Below are 20,761 nucleotides of genomic sequence, written 5' to 3'. Positions count from 1 at the left end.
TACTTACATTCACACACACACACACAAACACACACACACAAAGTCCAGGACATCAATAGGAACTCCTTTCATCGTTCTCACAGGTTATTCTCTGTTATTTTTTCTTCTTTAAAAAATTTAAAAAAAAATTGCTGTGAGCTGGTAGCAGCAACCTGGTGCGGCTTGCCTCCTTGGACAGGCTGCAGCAGCAATGAAGCAAGGGACACGCTTCAGTTCCCAGGACAATGGTCTCTTTGACTGGGAATATACCAAACCAGAATTACAAGTGTGCAAGAATAAACAAGGCTGGAGTCAATCTAAAGTTGTTTTACACTCTGTTTTATTAAAGTCAATGCATTTCCGTTCCTATGTGCCCAGCTTAGGCTTGCTTAATTATAGACACCCGGGGTGAATGCTAATGTAGACAGGACAGTCGGTGATTGGAAAACAAGGCCCTTTTCTGACCTCTACAGGCCATTTGGAGGAAACAAGAAATTGCTTCTGGAAAATTACCGACCAGGAGGCACCGCAAACGGGGCTGAGGGAGGTTTCTCCTGGACGCCTCCTTGAAGCTCTGAGTTGGCTGGACTCACGTGTGTCCTGCTTTCCTGCAGCTCTGCTCTCCATGCGTAAGAGGTTACTGAGGCAACGGGTAGGAGGTCATTCTCAGGAGACCGTTCTAACAGAAATTAAGATCTCAACCATTCAACACATATTTATGGAAGTCCCACCACATCTTGGGCACGATGCTAGGCTCTCAGGATGTAGCAGTGAACAAAATTGTCTTTGTTCTCCAAGATATTACAGTCTTGGTGCAGTGGGGCGGTGGGGGGGAGGTGAAGAGGGGACAGCAAAGTCCACAGGCAATGCCATACAACAAAAGCTGTGACTGGGTTTCTCCAAGATGACAGTAGGAACTCAGAATCAGATCATGGGAGACTTCTTGGAGGAGCCTACATTTAAGCACATAATGGATAGATCTAGGCACATGGATGGAAGAAGAGGGAACAGAAGAGTAAGGTGCTTTCTGAGAATTGAAAGTAAGTTTTTATGACTTTAACAGGGGCTGATGTCAAGAGAAGAGACCAGAAAATTACGTAGTGGCTGGATCTGAAAAGGCTCAAGCACTAGGTCCTGTCTGCATTTTATCCTTAAGACCATGGGAGGTCACTGACAAATTATAAACTGCGAAAGTAGAAGCCGGTTTTCCTTCCTAATACTATCAGGCTGCACAGGGATGAAAGGGTTGGAAAGGAAGCACAACCAAAGGTGAGAAGAGTGGTAAGAAAACTTGAAGTCCAGGTGAGAACAGTGTTACCGAGTCTGATTCTTAGCTTTGGACTCCAACCAAAGCTAAGATTCACACTCAACAACATTGCAGATTCATCTATTTAGTGAAGATCTGAGTACCTGCCTCGGCCAGACAGTGAGCTCTGCATCTGGCACACAAATAAATCAAACAACGCCGGTTTACTATCGGCATAATCAAGTTTAGGAATTTGGAGGTAGAGATTTTGTTGGGAGGAGATTTTGACTTTGAACCTGTTGAGTTTGAAAAGGAGCAGGAAGTTATGCAGAAATGGCCAGTAGGAGTTACTTGTATTTGAGTCAAGGATCTACAAGAACAACACACTTTCCTAGAAATGGAGACTTGCTCCATAACCTCTCAGAGGGCCCTTAGGGGTCTTTGAAGAAAGATGTTTTTCCTTGGAGAGCAAGTTTAAGAGTCCGATTGCCTGAGTTAAGGTTGTGATCTGCTACTTACTACCTGTATCATCTTAGGCTAGCCCTTAAATTCTTAATGCCCTCATTTATAAAGTGAGCATAACAACAGAGTTTAGCTCGTTGGGCTGAAGTTTTAGGCTTAAACATGATGACACCTGCGATGGTCTTAGACTATTATAGATACTAAGTGTTGCTAATTACCACGTTAGCTGTAACTGTGTTATGGTTCATATTCACCTCCTCTGGGGAAGTGGAGGGAGCATGAGTTAGGAAGTCAGATTTCCCCGGGAACAGATTCCAGCTCTATCATTTACTAAACGTGTCTCTTTAAGTATGGGTGCACTTCATTTTTAAAATGGCAATCATAATGTCCATTTATCCCACAGAGCTGGTACTGAGAGTGAAATGAGTCACTTATGTGATTGTCTGAGCAGAGCAGAAACACAGGCAGATTTTTCCTCCTCTAATACCTCCCAAAATAACTTCCTCTTCAGAATGAAGTGTGGGTGGGGTCTGGTTGATAGTCTTCTACCCCAGGACATTCATTCATTTAACCCCCATACCCTGGATGTTTGGATGGCAGACCTGTCGGCTTCTCTGCTTCCTGTCCCGTCCCACAGCCAGTAGAGACAATTGAACTCAATGCCATGTCTTGCCCTGCCCTTCAAGACCAGGGCTACACTCAGACACTTTAACTGAATAGCTCCAAATAATTATGCTTAAGTGTTACTTATTTTGCCAGGAGCTGGTCATAATACTTGTCTGATACCAAGAAATCATTTTAACCCCATAAGAGCCTAGAGACTATAAAAGATCATTGAAATCCCCCCATGTAGAATCATCTTTGCTTCAGCCTTTTTATTTACTTTTAGACAGAGTACAGGGTCTCACTCTGCCACCTAGGCAGGAGTGCAGTTGTGCGATCACGACTCACCGTAGCCTCAACCTTCCACTTCCAGGCTCAGGTGATCCTCCTGCCTCAGCCTCCCTAGTAGCTGGGACTACAGGCATGCACCATCACGCCTGGCTATTTTTTTTCTTTATTTTTTGTAGATTCAGGGTCTAACTATGTTGCCCAGGCTGGTCTCAAACTCCTGGGCTCAAGGGATCCTCCCAGCTTGGCCTCCCATAATTCTGGGATTACAGTTGTGAGCCACCACGCCTTGCCTGCTTCAGCCTTGTAAACAGTCAGTGCTCTCCTCTGTTTAACTACTTGTCATAAGAACTAAATGTGGCTCATTTGGTAATTCTCTCATAGACTGTGTTCTCTACCAATGATACTGAACCCATTTTACTTTGCATTGGAACTGGCCCAGAATATATACACACTTCAAGTACAGTTTATGTCACATGCTAATGAGAGATGAGTCCCGTCTTCTGCCCAAAAGGCCTTCATCTTGACATCTGTGTGACAGTAGAGCCTAAAATCATCAACCAGCTGCCCCTCACCTGTATGAACATGTGTCATGTGTCTGAGGATCAACCTTCCCTCACTCATTGTTATGCTTAAAGCCCTGTGCCGTGTGTGTGTGTGTGTGTGTGTGTGTGTATGTGTGTGTGTGGTGGGGAACTCAAACTCAGCTTCAGCTCCATTATGTTGAATTGTGTGTGTGTAATAGATGATTTTAAGTTATATGCAATTGTATCTTTTTATTATTAGGCACTGAAAGGTTGTAATAGAATCCATTTTTATCTCAAAATTCCCTTTTACCACTCTATTTTTTCTTTTCTAAAGAACACTTTTTATCAAGCATTGGTAGCATGAACCAAACTGCAACACAAACAAAAGAGGACATCTGTTGGGAAGACAGCAGCAGGCTCCAGAGCTGATGAATTATTTTTGCCCAGAAAAGCCCTCCTGGTGGGCACCAGGCTACTATGCATGTCTTTCCAAGACTAGAGAGTTTGGGGAGCTGGGGTGAGCTGTACCAGCAAGGCAAAACAAATCCATCATTTTAATGCAAATCCAAATGCTGAGATCCACCATGCGAGTCATTCTTCTGTGGCCCTAACAAGGATGACTTATGTCAGGCATTTCCTGGGAGCTCCTTCTCTTGGCATAGGGCAGAGGCTGCCCTTAGCATATGAAATCGACTCTACGGCACCATTTTCCAGGCTGATAAATGAAAGGGTGTAATATGACCTTCCTTGTGTTGGCAGCCCTCAAGGTGAGCTTGTAACTCAGGGAGCAGGTTAATTTCAAATATTCTTGGTGGCTCTGAATCCTCTTTCTGGAAGGAAACTGAAGCCAATGTATGGAATTCTTGGATGCTGATTCTTATTGATGGGATTGCAAGGAGAGCCCAGGCAGCCAAGTTGGCATGATATCCATGGAGCTGCACAGACAGTTCTCACCAAAGGGAGCATAGGAGGCAGAGCCCCTGGGTAAATGTGGCAGCTCCTGGGAACCCTTGGAGATGCCACCCCTCCATTATCACCACTCTAAGCATTTGCACAACACAGGTAAGGAAAAGGACACCCTGCCCCTTGTTAAGCTCGCCTCGCACTGGGAACTCTTCCATGGCAACCACCAGCTTGAGAGGCCAGGCTGCACTTGTGCTACACGTCCTTTTAGTGAAACTACAACACAAACTCTTCTTTGTGTTTCCCTGTCTATAACACAAACTCTTCTTTGAGATGGAAAACGGAGGGATTTAAGGAAAATAAGTGAGATTTCATTGAAACATTGGATGTCTGAGTTTGAAGCTGAGGGGAAGACACATTTTTGAACACCTGCAATGTGTTAAGAAGTATGATAGGTATAGGGACAGATGCCAAGATAATAGCAGGTTTGTGCACTTTAGAGCTCACTATTCAATGGTGAATGGGGGTGTGGGTATAAAAGACATATTTATCAAGTTAAAAATAAGCATAGTATAAAAGAGATATATAAACAGTGCAACAGGGGCATGGAAGAGAGATTATATATAACTTGGCATTGGGTGATGAGGACAAGTTTTATAGAAGAAAGGTGATATTTGAACTGAGTTTTGATATTCCCAAATGAGAGAATGGGAGATTCTTATCAGAGGCAGAGGAAAAATGTGAAAATGTTAGAAAAATCAAAAAGTACATTTAGGGAGCTGTGTGGCTTAAGAAGTGCCCTTCCATGCCCCTATTGCACTGTGCATGTGCATATGTGTGTAGACACTCACAAGCATAAGTGCGATGAGAGAGAAAGAGGGTATGTTCTGTGGCAAATCAAAGAGAACAAAGAATGTCAGAACCTGAGGCTGTCAAGGAGATTGGGGCCAGGCTATAAAGGGATCTGTTGAGACATTTAGACTTCCTTCTGAAGGAAATGTGAAGCCACAAAGCCTCTTGCCAGAGGGAAGTGTTACGAAGGGGTCAGTAGTTTCCACCCTTGAGGGCTCGTGGGTGGCAAGTCTTGGGCTTCTATTCTAACAATGGGACTATCTTAAAGGTGAAATCAGAAAGCTCCCAACCTTTGCCCATCAGAGAAGTTTTACCAGGCTGTCCCATGAAGCTGCAGGCCCCCACAGCCCCTCAGCCCCAGTTCCAGTCCTGCATGCAGAGCACCGGATGACAGTTGGTACAGGACAGCATGCACTTGGCCTGCCCCAACATCGCCTCTCTGGACTCTCCTCTCTCCTCTGCACATTTTGGACCACATTTGCTTCCCATTATGGCCTACAACTCCTTGGAATTCTTGGGTCATCTTAGTTTGGCTTTGAATTTGGTAGAACACGTTTTATCCCAACAATTCACTGAAGTGGTCTGGCCAGCAAGAGAAAGTCCTGGCTTGACTGGAAGAATGGCTCTTATAACTATTGAGAGTTAACTCTCAAGTAAGTACCCTCTAACTCTGGATGGAAGACTGGTGAGATTTGACACAAGATAGCCTTCAGTCCTAGCAGGAAAGGAGAGAGGTCTGCTCCCAAGTCCCCTCTTCCCTCCAATCAATTGCCTTCCCAACTCACTGACACCTGGGCTTAGGTGCTCAGGACATTCACCTGTGTCCCCAAAATCACCAAGTGTTAGGTACACCTCTCTTTGTTCTCCTTCTGCTTCCTGAGGTACCTCTGATTTCTAGGAAACCTTTCGAACGGGCTATCATGTAGGCCACCAACATTTAACATGTCCCCAAACTGCACTTATTATCTTTGACCTGAATGCAAACGTTCTGCTCTTCAAATATAGTAGTATCACACCTGGGGCACTCCTCAAACTACTGAACAACCAGCATAGCAGGAGCACCAAACCCTCAGCCATAAACAAGGGAAAAATGGCGCTGATATCAGTCACGGGCATGCCTCTGCTGAAAGCTCTTTAAGTCTCCCCCATTACATTCAGAATTAAATTCAGCCTTTTCATCAAGGAATGCCAAATGCAGCTTTATCTGACTGCTGTCTAGTTTTTCCATTTCATCTCTTGTCACTCTCCTCCTTTCCTCACATACAAACACATCTTTTAAACCAGTCACACTGAACATTTTATTTCAAGCTCTAACTCTACCACAGGGCCTTTGCACAAAATCTTTCCACTCCTTCGCATGTCTTTTCTCCCTTTATACTTGAAAACTCCTGCATATTCTTCAAGAATCACCCAAATTATGACCTTCTTTTGGTAGACTTTTACCACAACTGCCACCCCCATTAGATTAGGCGTTTTTGTAATATTCTTTGCAGAGTTCCATAATGGCATGGGCCATACTGCATTAACTTAGAATGTTTATTGTTCTTCTTTGTCTGGTTACTGAGGGCACAAAATAGGTCTTTCTTATCTGCATCCGTAGAGCTTAGTAAAGTGCATGACCCACAGTTAGGGGTTAAATATACATTTGTTACATAGATGGATCAACAAATACTTCATGTTCCTGGCTTTTTCTGAACATGCCACATAAAAACTTATCTGTCATGGTCACGTTTTTTAAGAAACATGCCTCATGACCAGAAGCTAACCCCCAAAACTAATTTGGGCTGAAATAATAATTAATGATAAGCTAGCATCATTCCCACCTCTCTCAGCAATTACATTTCAATATTATCTTCTTGAATCCTCAAAGCAAAGAGAAATCAGCACCATTATGCTAGCCTTTATTTAAGAGTGGAAAGATTAAATATGGGAGGAGTTAAGAGCTATATAGCGTTTGGGTTTCACTTTCATTATCTTTGCTAATAGTCTTCAAATTTCTTGCATATGTTACATAAACATACATGTCTTAATATGAAGAATGGATATACAATTTCTGAACTACAAAATGGAAACTTGGAAAAGAGTTAAAAAAATAAGAGACTATTAATAATGTTATCAACTCCCAAAATCACAACACAGATGCCTTTCTTCTATGCCTTGGAGCTAATCCTGTTTTGTTCTGTGGCTTTCTGCTGGTCAAGAGGTGTGTGCTATGAGTGTCATCTGAGATTATTCTGATATATCCAAAACTCCCTTGGTGGTGTTTGGAACATCAGGAGAAGTCTTTTGGCAGATATGTAATCTCCCAATATGTATTATTATCTTTTCCCTTAGTATTCAGACTTTTACTTCAAACTTCAAATTTTAGCTGGGCCCACCTCAAATAAAGACTATGTTTTCTAACCTCTCTTGCAGCTTCCTGTGGCTATAGGCCCATTTTTTTCAGCCGGTGGGATTAAGAAGAAATATTATGTAGAGCTTTTGGAAAGATAGAAAACAGGCATTTCTTTTTGTGTTCTTCTTGCTACTGCCTGGGATGCAGATGCAGTGACTGATGCTTCAGCAGCCATTCTAGACCAAGAGTAGAAGCACACACAGTAGAGCCAGAAAACTGCAGAAGCCAGGTCTCTGACACCATGCAGCCATGACACTAGGACTGGTCTTCCAGTGTGTAAAATTCCACAGGAAAGAGAAATAGACTTATGCCTTATGAAAGCTACTACTATGATAAGTTGTCCATCTCTTGCAGCTAAACCTAATCCTAACTAATACACATGACATCTAAAACAGCCTAAGTTTGACCTAGCGTATTCTATCTCTCACTCTACCACTGCCTTTGTCGTCCCTTCTCATCCTTTCTTCGCAGGTCTCGTACACTTCATTATTCAAATAACTAAGCCTCTTCCTTCCGAATGCTAAAAGGCCTTGCTCCATTTTCACCTGTTTTAAGTGATTCCAGCCTCCTAGATTCTGCTCCTCTGTAATCTCCTTCCCAGCTCCCTTCCAGTAAGAGGGCCTATTTCCTACCATGTGACTCCAGAGAATTCTGGATTCTGGGTTTGTCGTCGTTGTTGTTGTTGTTGTTTGAGACAGAGTCTTGCTCTGTTGCCGGGCTGGAATGCAGTGGTGCAATCTCGGCTCATGGCAACCTCCACCTCCCAAGTTCAAGCGATTCTCCTTTCTCAGCCTCCCAAGTAGCTGGGATTACAGGTGTGCGCCACCACACTTGGCTAATTTTTGTAGAGATGGGGTTTAGTAGAGACAGGGTTTCATCATGTTGTCCAGGCTGGTGAGAATTTTTTCTTAACTGTCAGAATTCTTATATAGAATGTTCTTTTGTGTTATGAAGAAAAATAAGCCAATGTTGTTGTGTACCAAATGCTAAGCTATACACTTTTATATATCATCTCATTTCATCCTACAATAATTTTATGATATAGATATACTTATCCACATTTTATATATAAGAAAACTGAAGTTTAGGAAAATTTAATTACTTGCCTAAATTGTCATAACAAGCAACTGCCAGATCTAGCATATGAACCATATCTGTCAGATTCTGAAATGAATAAATTTTCCAGTAGGTCTGGTACTTCCTAGCATTATGTTTGGTGATCTGAATACATAGGATCTTAAAATCTGTGAAGATCAGTGACAATGTCTTATTTCTAAGAGTCTAGTGCAGCTTCTGGCCTGTACCACATATGTAAAATATATGCTGCTTGAGAAGATCACAGATGAAACCTGCAATTACTTGGATGCACAGTTTTTCATGTTCAAGCCCCAGCACCTGAAGACCCTGCCAGGATCCCCAGAGTCTCAGTGGTTTGTTCTGGGGTGCTCAAATGCTATGGTGGGGAGATAACATTGGAAGATAACACTTGTATATGGAACAACTTAAATAACCACTTAGAATTCTGGCTGAGAAGCCAAGAAGAAGCCCAACTCCTCTACTTCCAGCTTGCTCCAGTTCAAGCACAAGAATGGAGAATAACTCAGAAAAATCTTGAAAGGATCCATGGTAATCTTGAGGCTACCCATTGGGTCCCATTCTAAGTACAATAGCAGCTTGCATAGGCCCCAAGGGCTACCTAACTCTAATATAAAATGTTATAAAGTGGCTAGCTTCTACGCATAGGGAAACTAGAACAAAATCTGGAAATGGGGTTGCTGAGCTCACACAGGCTGGCTTTTTGCACTGACATATACATTGTGTGTGTCTGATGATGAAGAAGCAGCAACACAGCTGCTAGTCCAATCCAATGGTTGGAGACACAGAACTTGCTGTGAACCTCGGGGCTATGGGATGGCTTCTCCTCCCTGCCCTGGTGCCTCCTCTTCTTCCTCTCCCTCAAACTTATTGAAGGCACACTCCTGGATCCTCCGGTCCAGCTCAGACAAGCTCCCTTCCTGGTCTGAGCTGTTGTCGGTACTGTAATCAATCTCCTCCAAGCAGGCAGGTTCATCCTCCAGTTCCGAAGGGACGCTGCCACTGCTGCTGCTGCACCTGCCATTGGGTCCCGGGAAATATGGAGAAGAAAGGAAGAAGAGGAAGGTAGACAGGGAAAATGTACAAAGGGAAAGGGAAGTAGAAGGAGGAAGATGGGGAAGAGGAGAGAGAAATGAAAAAGAGAAATTAGCCAAAAAAGGGAACACATTCAATTGGTTGGAAGAGGAGAGTGGAAGTTTCCTGCTTTGAGTTTTAACCTCAGATCACTGCTCCTTTAAATGTGTCATATGCACACTCCCCTGTGTCCTCAACCTTGAGGCTTGGGGGGGAAAGTTGTAACAATTTGCAGGCTTCTTTCTTCCTTTGCCAGCAGAGTATACATTTCTTAGCCCTATTTCCAATCAGAAGATGTGCACAGCCTCACATGTTTAGAATTTTTCAAAGTAGTTTAGGCTTTAAGTGAACAATCAGAGAAGGTCATCACTGAGTGTCTGAGAATGCCATGTCATTTTCTTCCAGGAAAGAGTGGGATTGGAATGCAGGTAGACAGAACTCAAAGCCCTCGTGTTTCCCACTCCAATAAACAGCACTATGAGTCATATTACACGGTTCTCCTTCATCATGATGAATGGTTTATAGTAGCTGGAAAATTAATCCAGGTTGAAATTAACAAATGACAGAGTAAGTGGGCAAACAGCATTCTGCTTCTACAGTGTTTGTGCTTTCCCACTTATGCCCTCTCTCCAGTTTATTAACAAATGGAAGATCAACAGGGGTTGACCAGCAAGCGATAGAAGGGGGCAGTAGGAACGAACATTAACAAAAACTTTACAGCATATTGTGAGCAGGGGGAGTTTCCTCCCAAGGAGCTGTATGTCTCCCTCATTTGCATAAGGCACCTTCTTTCCTGAAGACTTTCTAATCACTCCCTACTTAGGACTTAACCAATTAGGATTAGCAGCGTGCTGGGTTTCTGCTCTGTGATTTATAGAAGGCAAGCACTTCATAAATCAGGCAGAGCTGTTCATCCACCTGCCTTGCCATAAACAATGAAAATGGGTAATCAGCAGCATGGTTACATGTTAGATCGGGAAATGAATCAAAGGCCAGTGTCTTAATTGTCTGCTGACTGATGTGAGCTGCTTCTGTGCTCTCCAGGCTGCGGTACCCTAAACTGAAGGTCTGGTGGGACATTGCCTGAATGGAGAGGAAGGGGAAGAAATATGAAACTTGTTTCTACAGCATCACAACATTAAATTGTTATCATATTTTACAGGCTGACTTGTGGGTAATAAAGTAGCTGAGTAAAGGAAGGCAAGAGCTGCCCCAGCTGCAACACAGGCTCAAGTCATTGAGAACCCTGGGAGCCTGTGCCTCACCTCCATCATGCTAGGTATGGAGGTGTCAGTGTCATGCAATGTCAAAAGCCTGTATTTAAATATTGGCTGTGGGACTTTGGAAAAACTGCTTAATCTAATAGAATGTCAATAATAATACCTCAATAGTTGCATTGAATACTAAATGACAAAACACATGGATATTGTCTAGCAGAGTATTCTGTGAAATAAAGGCAATCACCACATTTTAATTCCATTGCTGTGCTGTTGATTCTGAAGAACATGGTGAAACATGGTGTGGAAGAAGAGCATGCATGTAGATTTGTTGCTTCACACCTGGGTTACTGCAATAACTGTTGCAAAACCAGCCAAATTGGCACTCCTAATAATTTCTCTAAACATCATTTTTATTATGCCACTTTTGTGGAACTTGCAATGATGCTCCCTTGCCTATTAGTGCAATGTGAGTATTGATGAACAGAGCCTACAGGGTCCAGTGGGACACAACAAGGTCAGTCTTGCTTAAATAATGTCCTGCCTTGCATCCTGCACAGTTGGCTCTAGTCACTCACAAACTTGCAGTTCTCCCGCGCATCAAGTTGTCAAGTCGTACTTGTTGTGATCATTTAGACATACCAGATGTAATATTTTCCCAAGCCTTCACAATTTCCTAAAACCGTCTGCCAACCCCTCAACATACAACCAAATGCAGCTTTTTTAAAAAGCTCACTTTAATTTCTATGAAATGACTATTTTGATAACTCCATCTCTTAATGAAATTTCCATTTTCTAAATATGAGTCTTTACAAATTAATTTATTTTTATCATTAACATGGTTATAGTGTTATTGTCAATAAGGCCCATGCCTCTGTCAGATTTATGTTTATTTTATACTATAGAACACCTAGAATGTAATGAGATCATACTAGACATGCAATAAAGAGTTGCTGAATTGAACATATAACAGGGGTATATATAGAAAAAACCATATTTGAATCATCTTTTGTGGAATTACTTTTTAATTTATTTTTAAAATATTTTTATATATGGATTATACCACAATTATCATGTCTGTGAATTTTAGTGTTTTATAACAAATATGGTTTTGTCATTTATATATAATAAAATACATGTAATATATTTATATATAATAACATACATTTATTATACATAACAAAATAAATATAATAGATACTACAAATAGAATATATAATACTTATTATATATGATATGATAATACATTATGTAACATAATATGTTATAAACATATATATAAATTTAGGAGTCTCAAAATCATTTAATTTTATCTCTCACTTATTTGCCCAAATGCAATGTAAGCATTCTAATAAGGAATTAAGATACATATTCAAGGACTTTCACTTCTGAAAAGATGGAGAAGTATTTTTACTTTTTCCTCTTCCTAATTTCCTTCAATATTATATATTAAAATATTATATACTAAAAAAATAAGAAGACACTGAAACGTGGATGGAGTAGGGAGAGAAAAAGGCAGACCGTATCAGGGCCTCAGGACTAGCAGGTGGAGTTGGCAATGATCTCTCTGGGTTTCCTTTGGGCCTCACATACTCTAGATTTGGAGCTGGAACAGCTGAGAGCTGGAAATGCCAAGAGGTGCAGATGATTAAAAGCCCCAACAAGAGCTTGTTTCCTCTAGCCACACGATGAGGAAGGGGGCAGCTTATCAAGAAAGAAAAGTTTGTTCTACTCCAGGCAAACACCACAGAAAAGCCAGCAGTCCCACCCCCATCCCCACCAACAAAAGCAGGGAGCCTAGGCTTCTACTCTCACCAGACCCCCATCTCCCTCATGCGGGAGCCAAGACTTTTATCCCCACTGGGTAATAATGTGGCTTCCTCCCCTTCAATATCAGTGGAGGTTGTGTGGGGAACCTGGACCTCTACAGGCAATTGTTGGTAACAAGACTGTCCCCTACCACTGGAGAGCAGTAAGGAGGAACTGCTGCTTCTTCTGGCCAGAAAGGGATCAGCAAAGTCCTGGTGGGGAGCTGGAATTCCCACCATGGCCCAGCAGTAGCAAGGAGCCCCTCCCCACACTGGGTGCCCCTGGAGGCCTAGTGGGGAACCTAGACTTCCACCCAACACCTGACAGTAACAAGCTCCCTTTTTCTGTTGTGTGAATGGTGTCAGAGAAATCAGCTCAAACAGAAGATTTAAATAAGATCCATAGCCTCATAGGATAATACTCAAAATGCCCAAGTTTCAACAGAAAATCACTCATCATACCAAGAATCAGGATAATCAAGACATGCCAACAGCAAGATGATACAGCTGTTAAAATTATCTGACAAGGATTTTAAAGCATATAAGTGTTGCCATAAGTAATTATGGACACACATGAAACAAATGAAAAAAATAAAATGTCTCAGGAAAGAAATAGAACATCCCAGAAAAAAAGGTAGGGAAAATAAAGAAGAATAAATGGAAACTGGAGAGTTGAGAAATCCAATAACAGAATTATAGAACTCAGTAAAAAACAAAAAGTCTCAGCAAAGAAATGGAAGCTATAAAGAAAAATGAAATGAAAATTTTAGAATGAAAAAATATCAAAAGCTAGATAAAGGAAACTCAGTAGAGGGACTCAACAGCAGAAAGGAGAAGGCAGAGGAAAGAATCAGTAAACCTGAAAGTAGAAAAATAGAAAAAACCCAGTCTGAACAAAAACGTGAAAATAGACTTTAAAAAAAAATAAAGAGAACATTAAGATCCTGTAGGACTATAACAAAAGATCTAATCTTCATTTCACCATTGTCCCAAAAGAAGAGAGGCTGTGAAGGTATCCAAAGAAATAATGTCTGAAAATGTCCTAAACTATGCAAAGGACATAAACCTACAGATACAAGAAACTTAGAAAAACCCCCAAACAGATAAAGCCAAAGAAATCAAGGCAAAGACAGATGATAGCTAATCTTCTTCAACTAAAGACAAACTTAAAATCTTGAAAGCTGTGGGAGAAACTTTAGGGGAACAATGCCATAGGGAAAAGCAATTAGAATGGCAGCAAAGTTCTCATCAGAAACCATAGAGGCCAGAAGAAAATGGCACACCATTTTTCAAGTGTTGAAAGCAAAGAACTGACAACCTAACACTCTAAAACTAGCAAAGATATCCTTCCAGAATGAAGGGAAACTTAAAACATTCTCATGGGAAGTAAATTTTTGATAATTTTTTGGTAACAGATCTACCCTAAAAGAATGGTTAAAGGAAACTCTCTAAACATAAATAATAAAAAGAAATTTTTAACACAAGCAGGCAGAAAAAAGCAACAAAAGAGTAAAAATATGAGCAAATACATAGATTTTTCTTTTCCTAAGTTTTTAAGATGATGTTTGACAGCTGAATTAAAATTTATAAAATTGTGTGGTGTTTTTTACTATATTATATAAATATTTAAGATGTTCAACAACACTAACTGTGAGGGAAATGCAAATTAAGACTATAATGAGATATCACTGCCCACCTATAAAAAGAAATACAATTTTAAAATAGTCATTATACCAAATGCTGGAGAGGAGATAGATGAGCCAGATCTTTAATACATTCCTGGTATGAGTGTACAGCTGTTCTGGAATGTAGTTTGTTAGTTTCTTTAGAAACTCAAAGCATACTTTGTAAAACGATGCCACAATTACACTCTTGGACATTACACCCAGGTATATAAAAACTTATGTCCACACTGAAACCTGCACATGATAGTTCACAGCAGCTTGATTTGTAATAGCCCAAACCTGGAAACATCAAAATGTCCAAAAATAGGTGAATGGTGAATGAACTGTGGGACCTGCATACCAGGAAAAACGACTCAGCCACAAGAATAAATGTATTATTATTAATATTGATATTAATAGTTTTGCTGTTTGAACATTAACCAGCTAAAACTTTAATGTAACAACTAAAAAAAATTCATCCACAACAGAAAAAACATATATAAAATGCTTAGTCATAAAAGCAATAAAAACTATGTAGGTTTACATGAAAAAAGTACCAAATTTCAGTGTGGGTCATAAAGTGACACCTAAATGCATACAAAGAAAATTATAAACTATTTTGAAGTAAATATTTTATTCAATTATTAAAAATTTTTGAAATTGTTTGAAATGTAACTAGAAGACCAAATCACCAACAAAAACATGGAATTGGGTTCAAAGAAAAAATTATTTAAAGAAAGGGTAATGTGGGGTTACTTGCTCTATTTGTCTTAGGACTCTTTATAAGTTGGTCTAACAAAATATAGTAAAGCTGAAGAAATAAAAATATAGTGCAATAGAAAAGAAAGTTGGAAATGAAGACACCATTATGTATACAAACTATTACACTATAAGAGGGTTTTTTTCAAATAGAGCACCTGCAACAATTTTGGCATGAAATCAAGTTATAACCCTATCTCACACCATGATAAAAATGTAATTCTAAATGGCTTGAAAATATTAAGAAAATACATTATGAAAATATCAAAAGAAAACACAATTAATGTTTTCTAAAACTTATGATGGAATTCTTTCTAAATTTGACACCAAAGGCAATTGAACTCTTTAAAAAAATCTTTTAGAAATGAAACAGAAATCTAAAACCTAGTCAACATATTTGAAAGCCATATAAAAAACCAGAAAAGTCTTGCAATGTGGAAAACCATCGAATGGTCATTATCTGGACTATTTAAAGAATTCTTATAACCTGGACTCAAACAAAATCCTCACCACTGGAAAATGATCAGGGGTATGAAGAGAAAACTTATAAATGAAGAATATGGGGATTAAAAAATGAGGAAAACATTAAAAAGTGAGGTTTACACTAAGTAAAATAAGAATAGCTAATATAATGGGATGTCACTGTTCATGTATAAAATTGACACTAAATATGTGAGAAGATTGTTAAGTGTTGCATTAGAGAGGGTCCAGGTAAACTGATAGCTTTGCAAGTGCTGAAGGGTAGCACAGTCTTTCCAGAAAGTAATCTGCAAGAAGTATCAAAAGCTTTAAAGAAGACACAATCTTTCACCCAGATATTCAACATCTTATCAGTAAAAAGGTTGGGCAGAGATATTTATTTTGTATACCAGGAAGTTCATTCTAGCATTGTTTATAGAAGGAAGAATACACAAGCAAAAAAAAAAAAATTCTGATATAAGATAGTCGATATAAGATACTCGATTATCTTTTCTGAACTCTCAAAAAATAAAAGTCCAAAAAAATCAATTACACTGAAGTTAGAAATTGGCCTTAACCTCAATCTATAGACTATGAAAAATATGTGCTAAATATACTCAAGTTTGGAAAATTAAAAGAAAGAACTAAGAATGGATAAATTATTTTCCCATTTGTCAAGCAGGCTGAGGAGTTTTCTGAAAATTACTAAGCATTCTGATAAGATCAACCAAAAATCTCTCTGAGGAATCTTAGATTCCTGGGATGAAACTAGGAAAAGTAAGAAACATACGTGTATTAGTCAGGGTTCTCTAAAGGGACAGAACTAATAGGATAGATGGATATATGAAGGGGAGTTTATTTGGAGAATTGACTCACATGATCACAAGGTGAAGTCCCACAATAGGCCATCCACAAGCTGAGGAGCCAGAAAGCCAGTCTGAGTCCCCAAAACCTCAAAAGTAGGGAAGACAACAGTGCCGCCTTCAGTCTGTGGCTGAAGGCCCGAGAGCTCCTGGCAAATCACTGCTGTAAGCCCAAGAGTCCAAAAGTTGAAGAACTTAGAGTCCAATGTTCAAGGGCAGGAAGCATCCAGCACGGGAGAAAGATGAAGGCCAGAAGACTCAGCCAGTCTAGTCCTTCCATGTTCTTCTGCCTGCTTTATTCTAGCTGTTCAGGCAGCTGATTAGATGGTGCCCACCCAGATTGAGGGTGGGTCTGCCTCTCCCAGTCCACTGACTCAAATGTTAATCTCCTTTGGCAACACCCGCACAGACACATCCAGGAATAATATGTCGCATCCTTCAATCCAATCAAGTTAACACTCACAATATGCATCACAATATGCATCAGGCTGCAATGTATCACCAAAGCACAGTGTGCCTGGCTAGGACTGAAGGGAGGTCAGGCCAGGATCATTTTTCCATGATATGCACAACTAATTCAGATGAATTGTCTTCATGTGAGGTAAAATGAAGAACAAATCAAGACTTGATATACCCAATAAATATATATAAGTATTATCAAATATAAATTTTAAAGAATTTTAAGATTTTGAAATAAAGAATTTCAAGCTACTTTTTTAACATTTATTTTAGGTTCAGGGGTACTTGTGAAGGCTTGTTACATAGGTAAACTTGTGTCATGGGGGTTCGTTGTACAAATTATTTCATCACTCAGCTATTAAGCCAGTACCCAATAGTTCTCTTTTCTGCTCCTCTCCCTCCTCCCCACCTCTACCCTCAAAGATTCTAGTGTCTGTTGTTTCCTTTTTGGGTTTAAAAGTTCTCATCATTTAGCTCCCACTTATAAGTGATAACACGTGGTATTTGGTTTTCTGCTCTTGCTTTAGTTTGCTGAGGATAATGGCCTTCAGCTCCATCCACGTTCCCACAAAAGACATGATCTCATTCTTTTTTACGGCTGCATAGTATTCCATGGTGTATATGTACATTTTCTTTACCCAGTCTATCATCGATGGGCATTTAAATTGAATCCATGTCTTTGCTATTGTGTATCGTGCTGCAATAAACATTCGTGTGCATGTGTCTTTGCGGTAGAATGATTTGTATTCCTCTGGGTATATACCCAGGAATGGAATTGCTGGGTTGAATGGTAGTTCTGCTTTTAGCTCTTTGAGGAATCACCACTGTATTTTCCTCAATGGTTGAACTAATTTACACTCCCACCAACAGTATATGTGTTCACTTTTCTCCACCACCATGCTAGCAAATGTTATTTTTTGACTTTCCAATGATACCCATTCTGTCTGGTGCGAGATGGTATCTCATTGTCATTTTGATTTGCATTTCTTCAATGATCAGTGATGTTGAGCTTTTTTTTTCATATTCTTACTTGCCACCTATTTGTCTTCTTTTGAAAAGTATCTGTTCACGTCCTTTGCCCATTTTTAATAGGGTTGTTTGTTTTCCTCTTTAAGTTCCTTATAGATGCTGGATATTAGACTATTGTCAAATATATAGTTTGCAAATATTTTCTCTCATTCTGTAGATTTTCTGTTTACTGTGTTGATAGTTTCTTTTGCTCTGCAGAAGCTGTTAAGTTTAATTAGATCCCAGTTGTCCATTTTTTATTTTGTTTCATCTAAGACCTTCATCTAGGATCTTTGACAAAGTGGGCAAAAACAAGCAATGGGAAAAAGACTACCTATTCAATAAATTGTGCTGAGATAACTGGCTAGTCATATGCAGCAGATTGAAGCTGGACCCCTTCTTTACACTATATACAAAAATTAACTCAAGATAGATTAAAACCTTAAATGTAAAACTCAAAACTGTAAAAACTCTGGAAGACAACCTAGGCAATAATACCATCCTGGACACAGGAATCAGAAAAGATTTCATGACAAAGACACCAAACACAGTCAAGCTACTTTTTAGACAGCAGATCAGAGTTGAAGAATAAAATACTAAATTTCCCAAAAATGTGTATTTATTCTGGTGCTTTAATAAAACTCTGGAGAAGTTTTTTCCTGCTATTTTGTGCATCTTTCTTCATTCATTTAATAATTTATTTATCAAATATTTTATTCAGGGCCAGGTGCAGTGGCTCATGCCTGTAGTCCCAGCACTCGGTAGGTGTGGGTGGGCAGATCACTTGGGCCTAGGAGTTCAAGACCAGCCTGGGCAATAAGGCAAAACCCCACATGTACAAAAAATACAAAAATTAGCTAGTCATGGTGGCACGTGCCTGTAGTTCAGCTAGATACTCAGGAGGCTGAGGTGGGAGGATCACCTGAGCCCAGGAGGTCGAAACTGCAGTGAGCTGAGTTTGTGCCACTGCGCTTCAGCCTGGGTGACAGAGTGATTCCCTGTCTCAAAAAAAAAAAAAAAAAAAAAAAGATAAAAGATGAAAGGAGTAAATTATCATAGTTCAAGAAAAAAAAAGGTGATTAAAATTTATGGAAACCATAATCACATTTGAAGCAACAAGAATTAGGGTGGAAACCACTGGGGGGAAAATCAGTGACAAGAAAATCAGAGTTGTGAAGTTTACATAAAACATACTGAACATATCCAAGGAATAAGAAAAATGTAATAAATATGAAAGAAACATTGAAAAACCAATGTAGGGGAGAAAGTTACAATTCAAATATATAAGAAAGAAGTTAATAGGAGAGAAGATAATAGATGTGAAAGTAAAACAATAAAGGATCAATGTAATGGGAAAATATATAGTTTAAAGATATAATAGAAAAAAATCTCATATACAGAAAAACTTACTTGTAGCTCAAAATGGTGCATCATATACACTAGAAATAAGAATAGACTGAATGATCCACAGCAACATATAATCTTACTTATTCAATCATCCATTCAATCCTGCAACACTGAATACTGTCTCTATGTCAAAGAGGGTGCTTGGAGCTGAGAAACATGTAAGGCACTATAGCAGTTTCAAATTCAAAGATAAAGGAAAAAAGTATATAAGCATGTAAGTAGAAAAATAAGTCTTCTAAAGTGAGAAACATAGACTGATTTTAATGTTCTCTACTGTGGAGTCAGTGTCCCTAATGACAGAAAAGGCCAAAAGAAAATTAAAATCTGGCTAAATAATTTTCTAAAAAGCCAAATTGTTTTGCAAAAGAAAGACACTGTCTAACATGCAAGACCTCAAGAAATATAAAAGCTATTTGCTTTCCTTAGGAATGTGCATGTAGTGGGTAGAGGGAGACACTACTTGAGAAAGTCTAGGAAATCCAAAGATTGATATAGTGAAGATCTCACAAATGGGGAGTGCATGGTCAGAGAAGTGTTGATGAGCACAGAACTATGTTATAATAAACATATAACTAAGGATAATCTGGAAATGATGTTTACAAAAGAGAATATAAATGCTATCAATCTTGTCAATGGAAAGGTGATGCTATAACTAATAAAAATAAGAACATATGCATGAGAAAGAAAATGCATATTGGAATAATTTATCTTTTACAGCAGAAGTCAATAGACAATATGCTAATTTTAAAAAAGAAACAAAAAATAGAGATTTAAATATGGGAAAGTAATGTTAGCAACGCAACAAAGTTAGAAAACCTAACTACCAGAAGGGGGAAAATGTTGACAAAATATAGAAATCATAGATTACACAGATGTAGAGTTCACAATTACATTGTGAATCACAAACCATGTAATTCTTGTTGGTGAAAACTTGAGGCCCCCATCAGAAACAAATACAAAATTACCATGCAGGTATTTTTTTTTTTTTAAACCCAGGGTATATGGAACTCTCCTGAGAGGGGGTGAAGACTACAGCCTGCAGAAGATACACTCAAAATAACAAATCATAAGTCAAATGAGGAAATAATCCACCTTGAACAAGACTCAGCAGATACGAAAAGCAGCAAAAGCAGACACTCACGAACTTGAAATATTATGACCCATTTGGAAAAGACTATAGAATGGTTATATTTGAAATAATTAATAAATTAGAATAAGTTCTCGAAACATAATGAAAGAAAAAGATTTTTTTGGGAAAAAAGGTAGATTTAAATATTAAACAGCCTTTTCTCTAAATGAAAAAACATTTTAACAAAAAGCTTAATAGAATGGTTAAATGTCACAGACACAGTTCAGCAAAGATAAGAAACAAGAAGGAATTTTTAAAAGTCGTGTTTAGGGTAAATGGGTAAGAGATAATATTTAAAAAGATACCAGTTGAAAGATGATCATCTTCAAGAAATACTCTAGAAACCAGAAAAAAATAGGAAATATATGAAGTTCATAAGTAAATACATCATAATAAACATCAATAAAGCAGGGCAAATCTTAGAAAACTTGAGAAATAAAGACAGATTATCTTTAAATAAGGGACATTTAGATCAACAATAAATTTTCCATAAAAACAAATTAAATAAGGGAAACTAGGTGAAAGGAACTTTCTGTGGTATCTTTGCAGTGTTTCTATAAATAT

The 20,761-nt window shown here is 39.0% G+C and overlaps 1 protein-coding gene across 5 annotated transcripts in view, besides 1 other annotated feature; it reads right to left on the bottom strand.

The window, feature by feature from the left end:
• AGBL1 (AGBL carboxypeptidase 1) overlaps positions 1 to 20,761 on the bottom strand; it is a 951,857-nt gene that overhangs the window by 115,023 nt on the left and 816,073 nt on the right. For 3 of the 5 annotated variants that reach the window (XM_017021919.3, XM_017021918.3, NM_001386094.1), the window contains one exon: positions 298 to 9,367. The exons of the other annotated variants lie outside the window; for them this stretch is intronic. In XM_017021919.3, coding sequence (XP_016877408.1) covers positions 9,160 to 9,367 — 208 coding nt within the window. In that variant the 3' untranslated portion in view covers positions 298 to 9,159. Of the gene's footprint in view, positions 1 to 297; positions 9,368 to 20,761 lie in introns of those variants that run through there. 5 annotated transcript variants of the gene reach the window in all.
• Positions 9,024 to 10,223: an enhancer, noted in NCBI's record as "MED14-independent group 3 enhancer chr15:87449462-87450661 (GRCh37/hg19 assembly coordinates)". NCBI's record gives its function as "activates an origin of replication core promoter dependent on BRD2, BRD4, P300/CBP and CDK7 cofactors, and independent of MED14, by STARR-seq in HCT116 cells {active_cell/tissue: HCT116}" and the evidence as "EXISTENCE:reporter gene assay evidence [ECO:0000049][PMID:35650434]".

Source organism: Homo sapiens, chromosome 15, assembly GCF_000001405.40.
Source record: "Homo sapiens chromosome 15, GRCh38.p14 Primary Assembly".
In the NCBI taxonomy this organism is placed as follows: Eukaryota; Metazoa; Chordata; class Mammalia; order Primates; family Hominidae; genus Homo; species Homo sapiens.
Note: the sequence above shows the minus strand (reverse complement) of the source record. Positions and strands in the feature narration are given on the sequence as shown.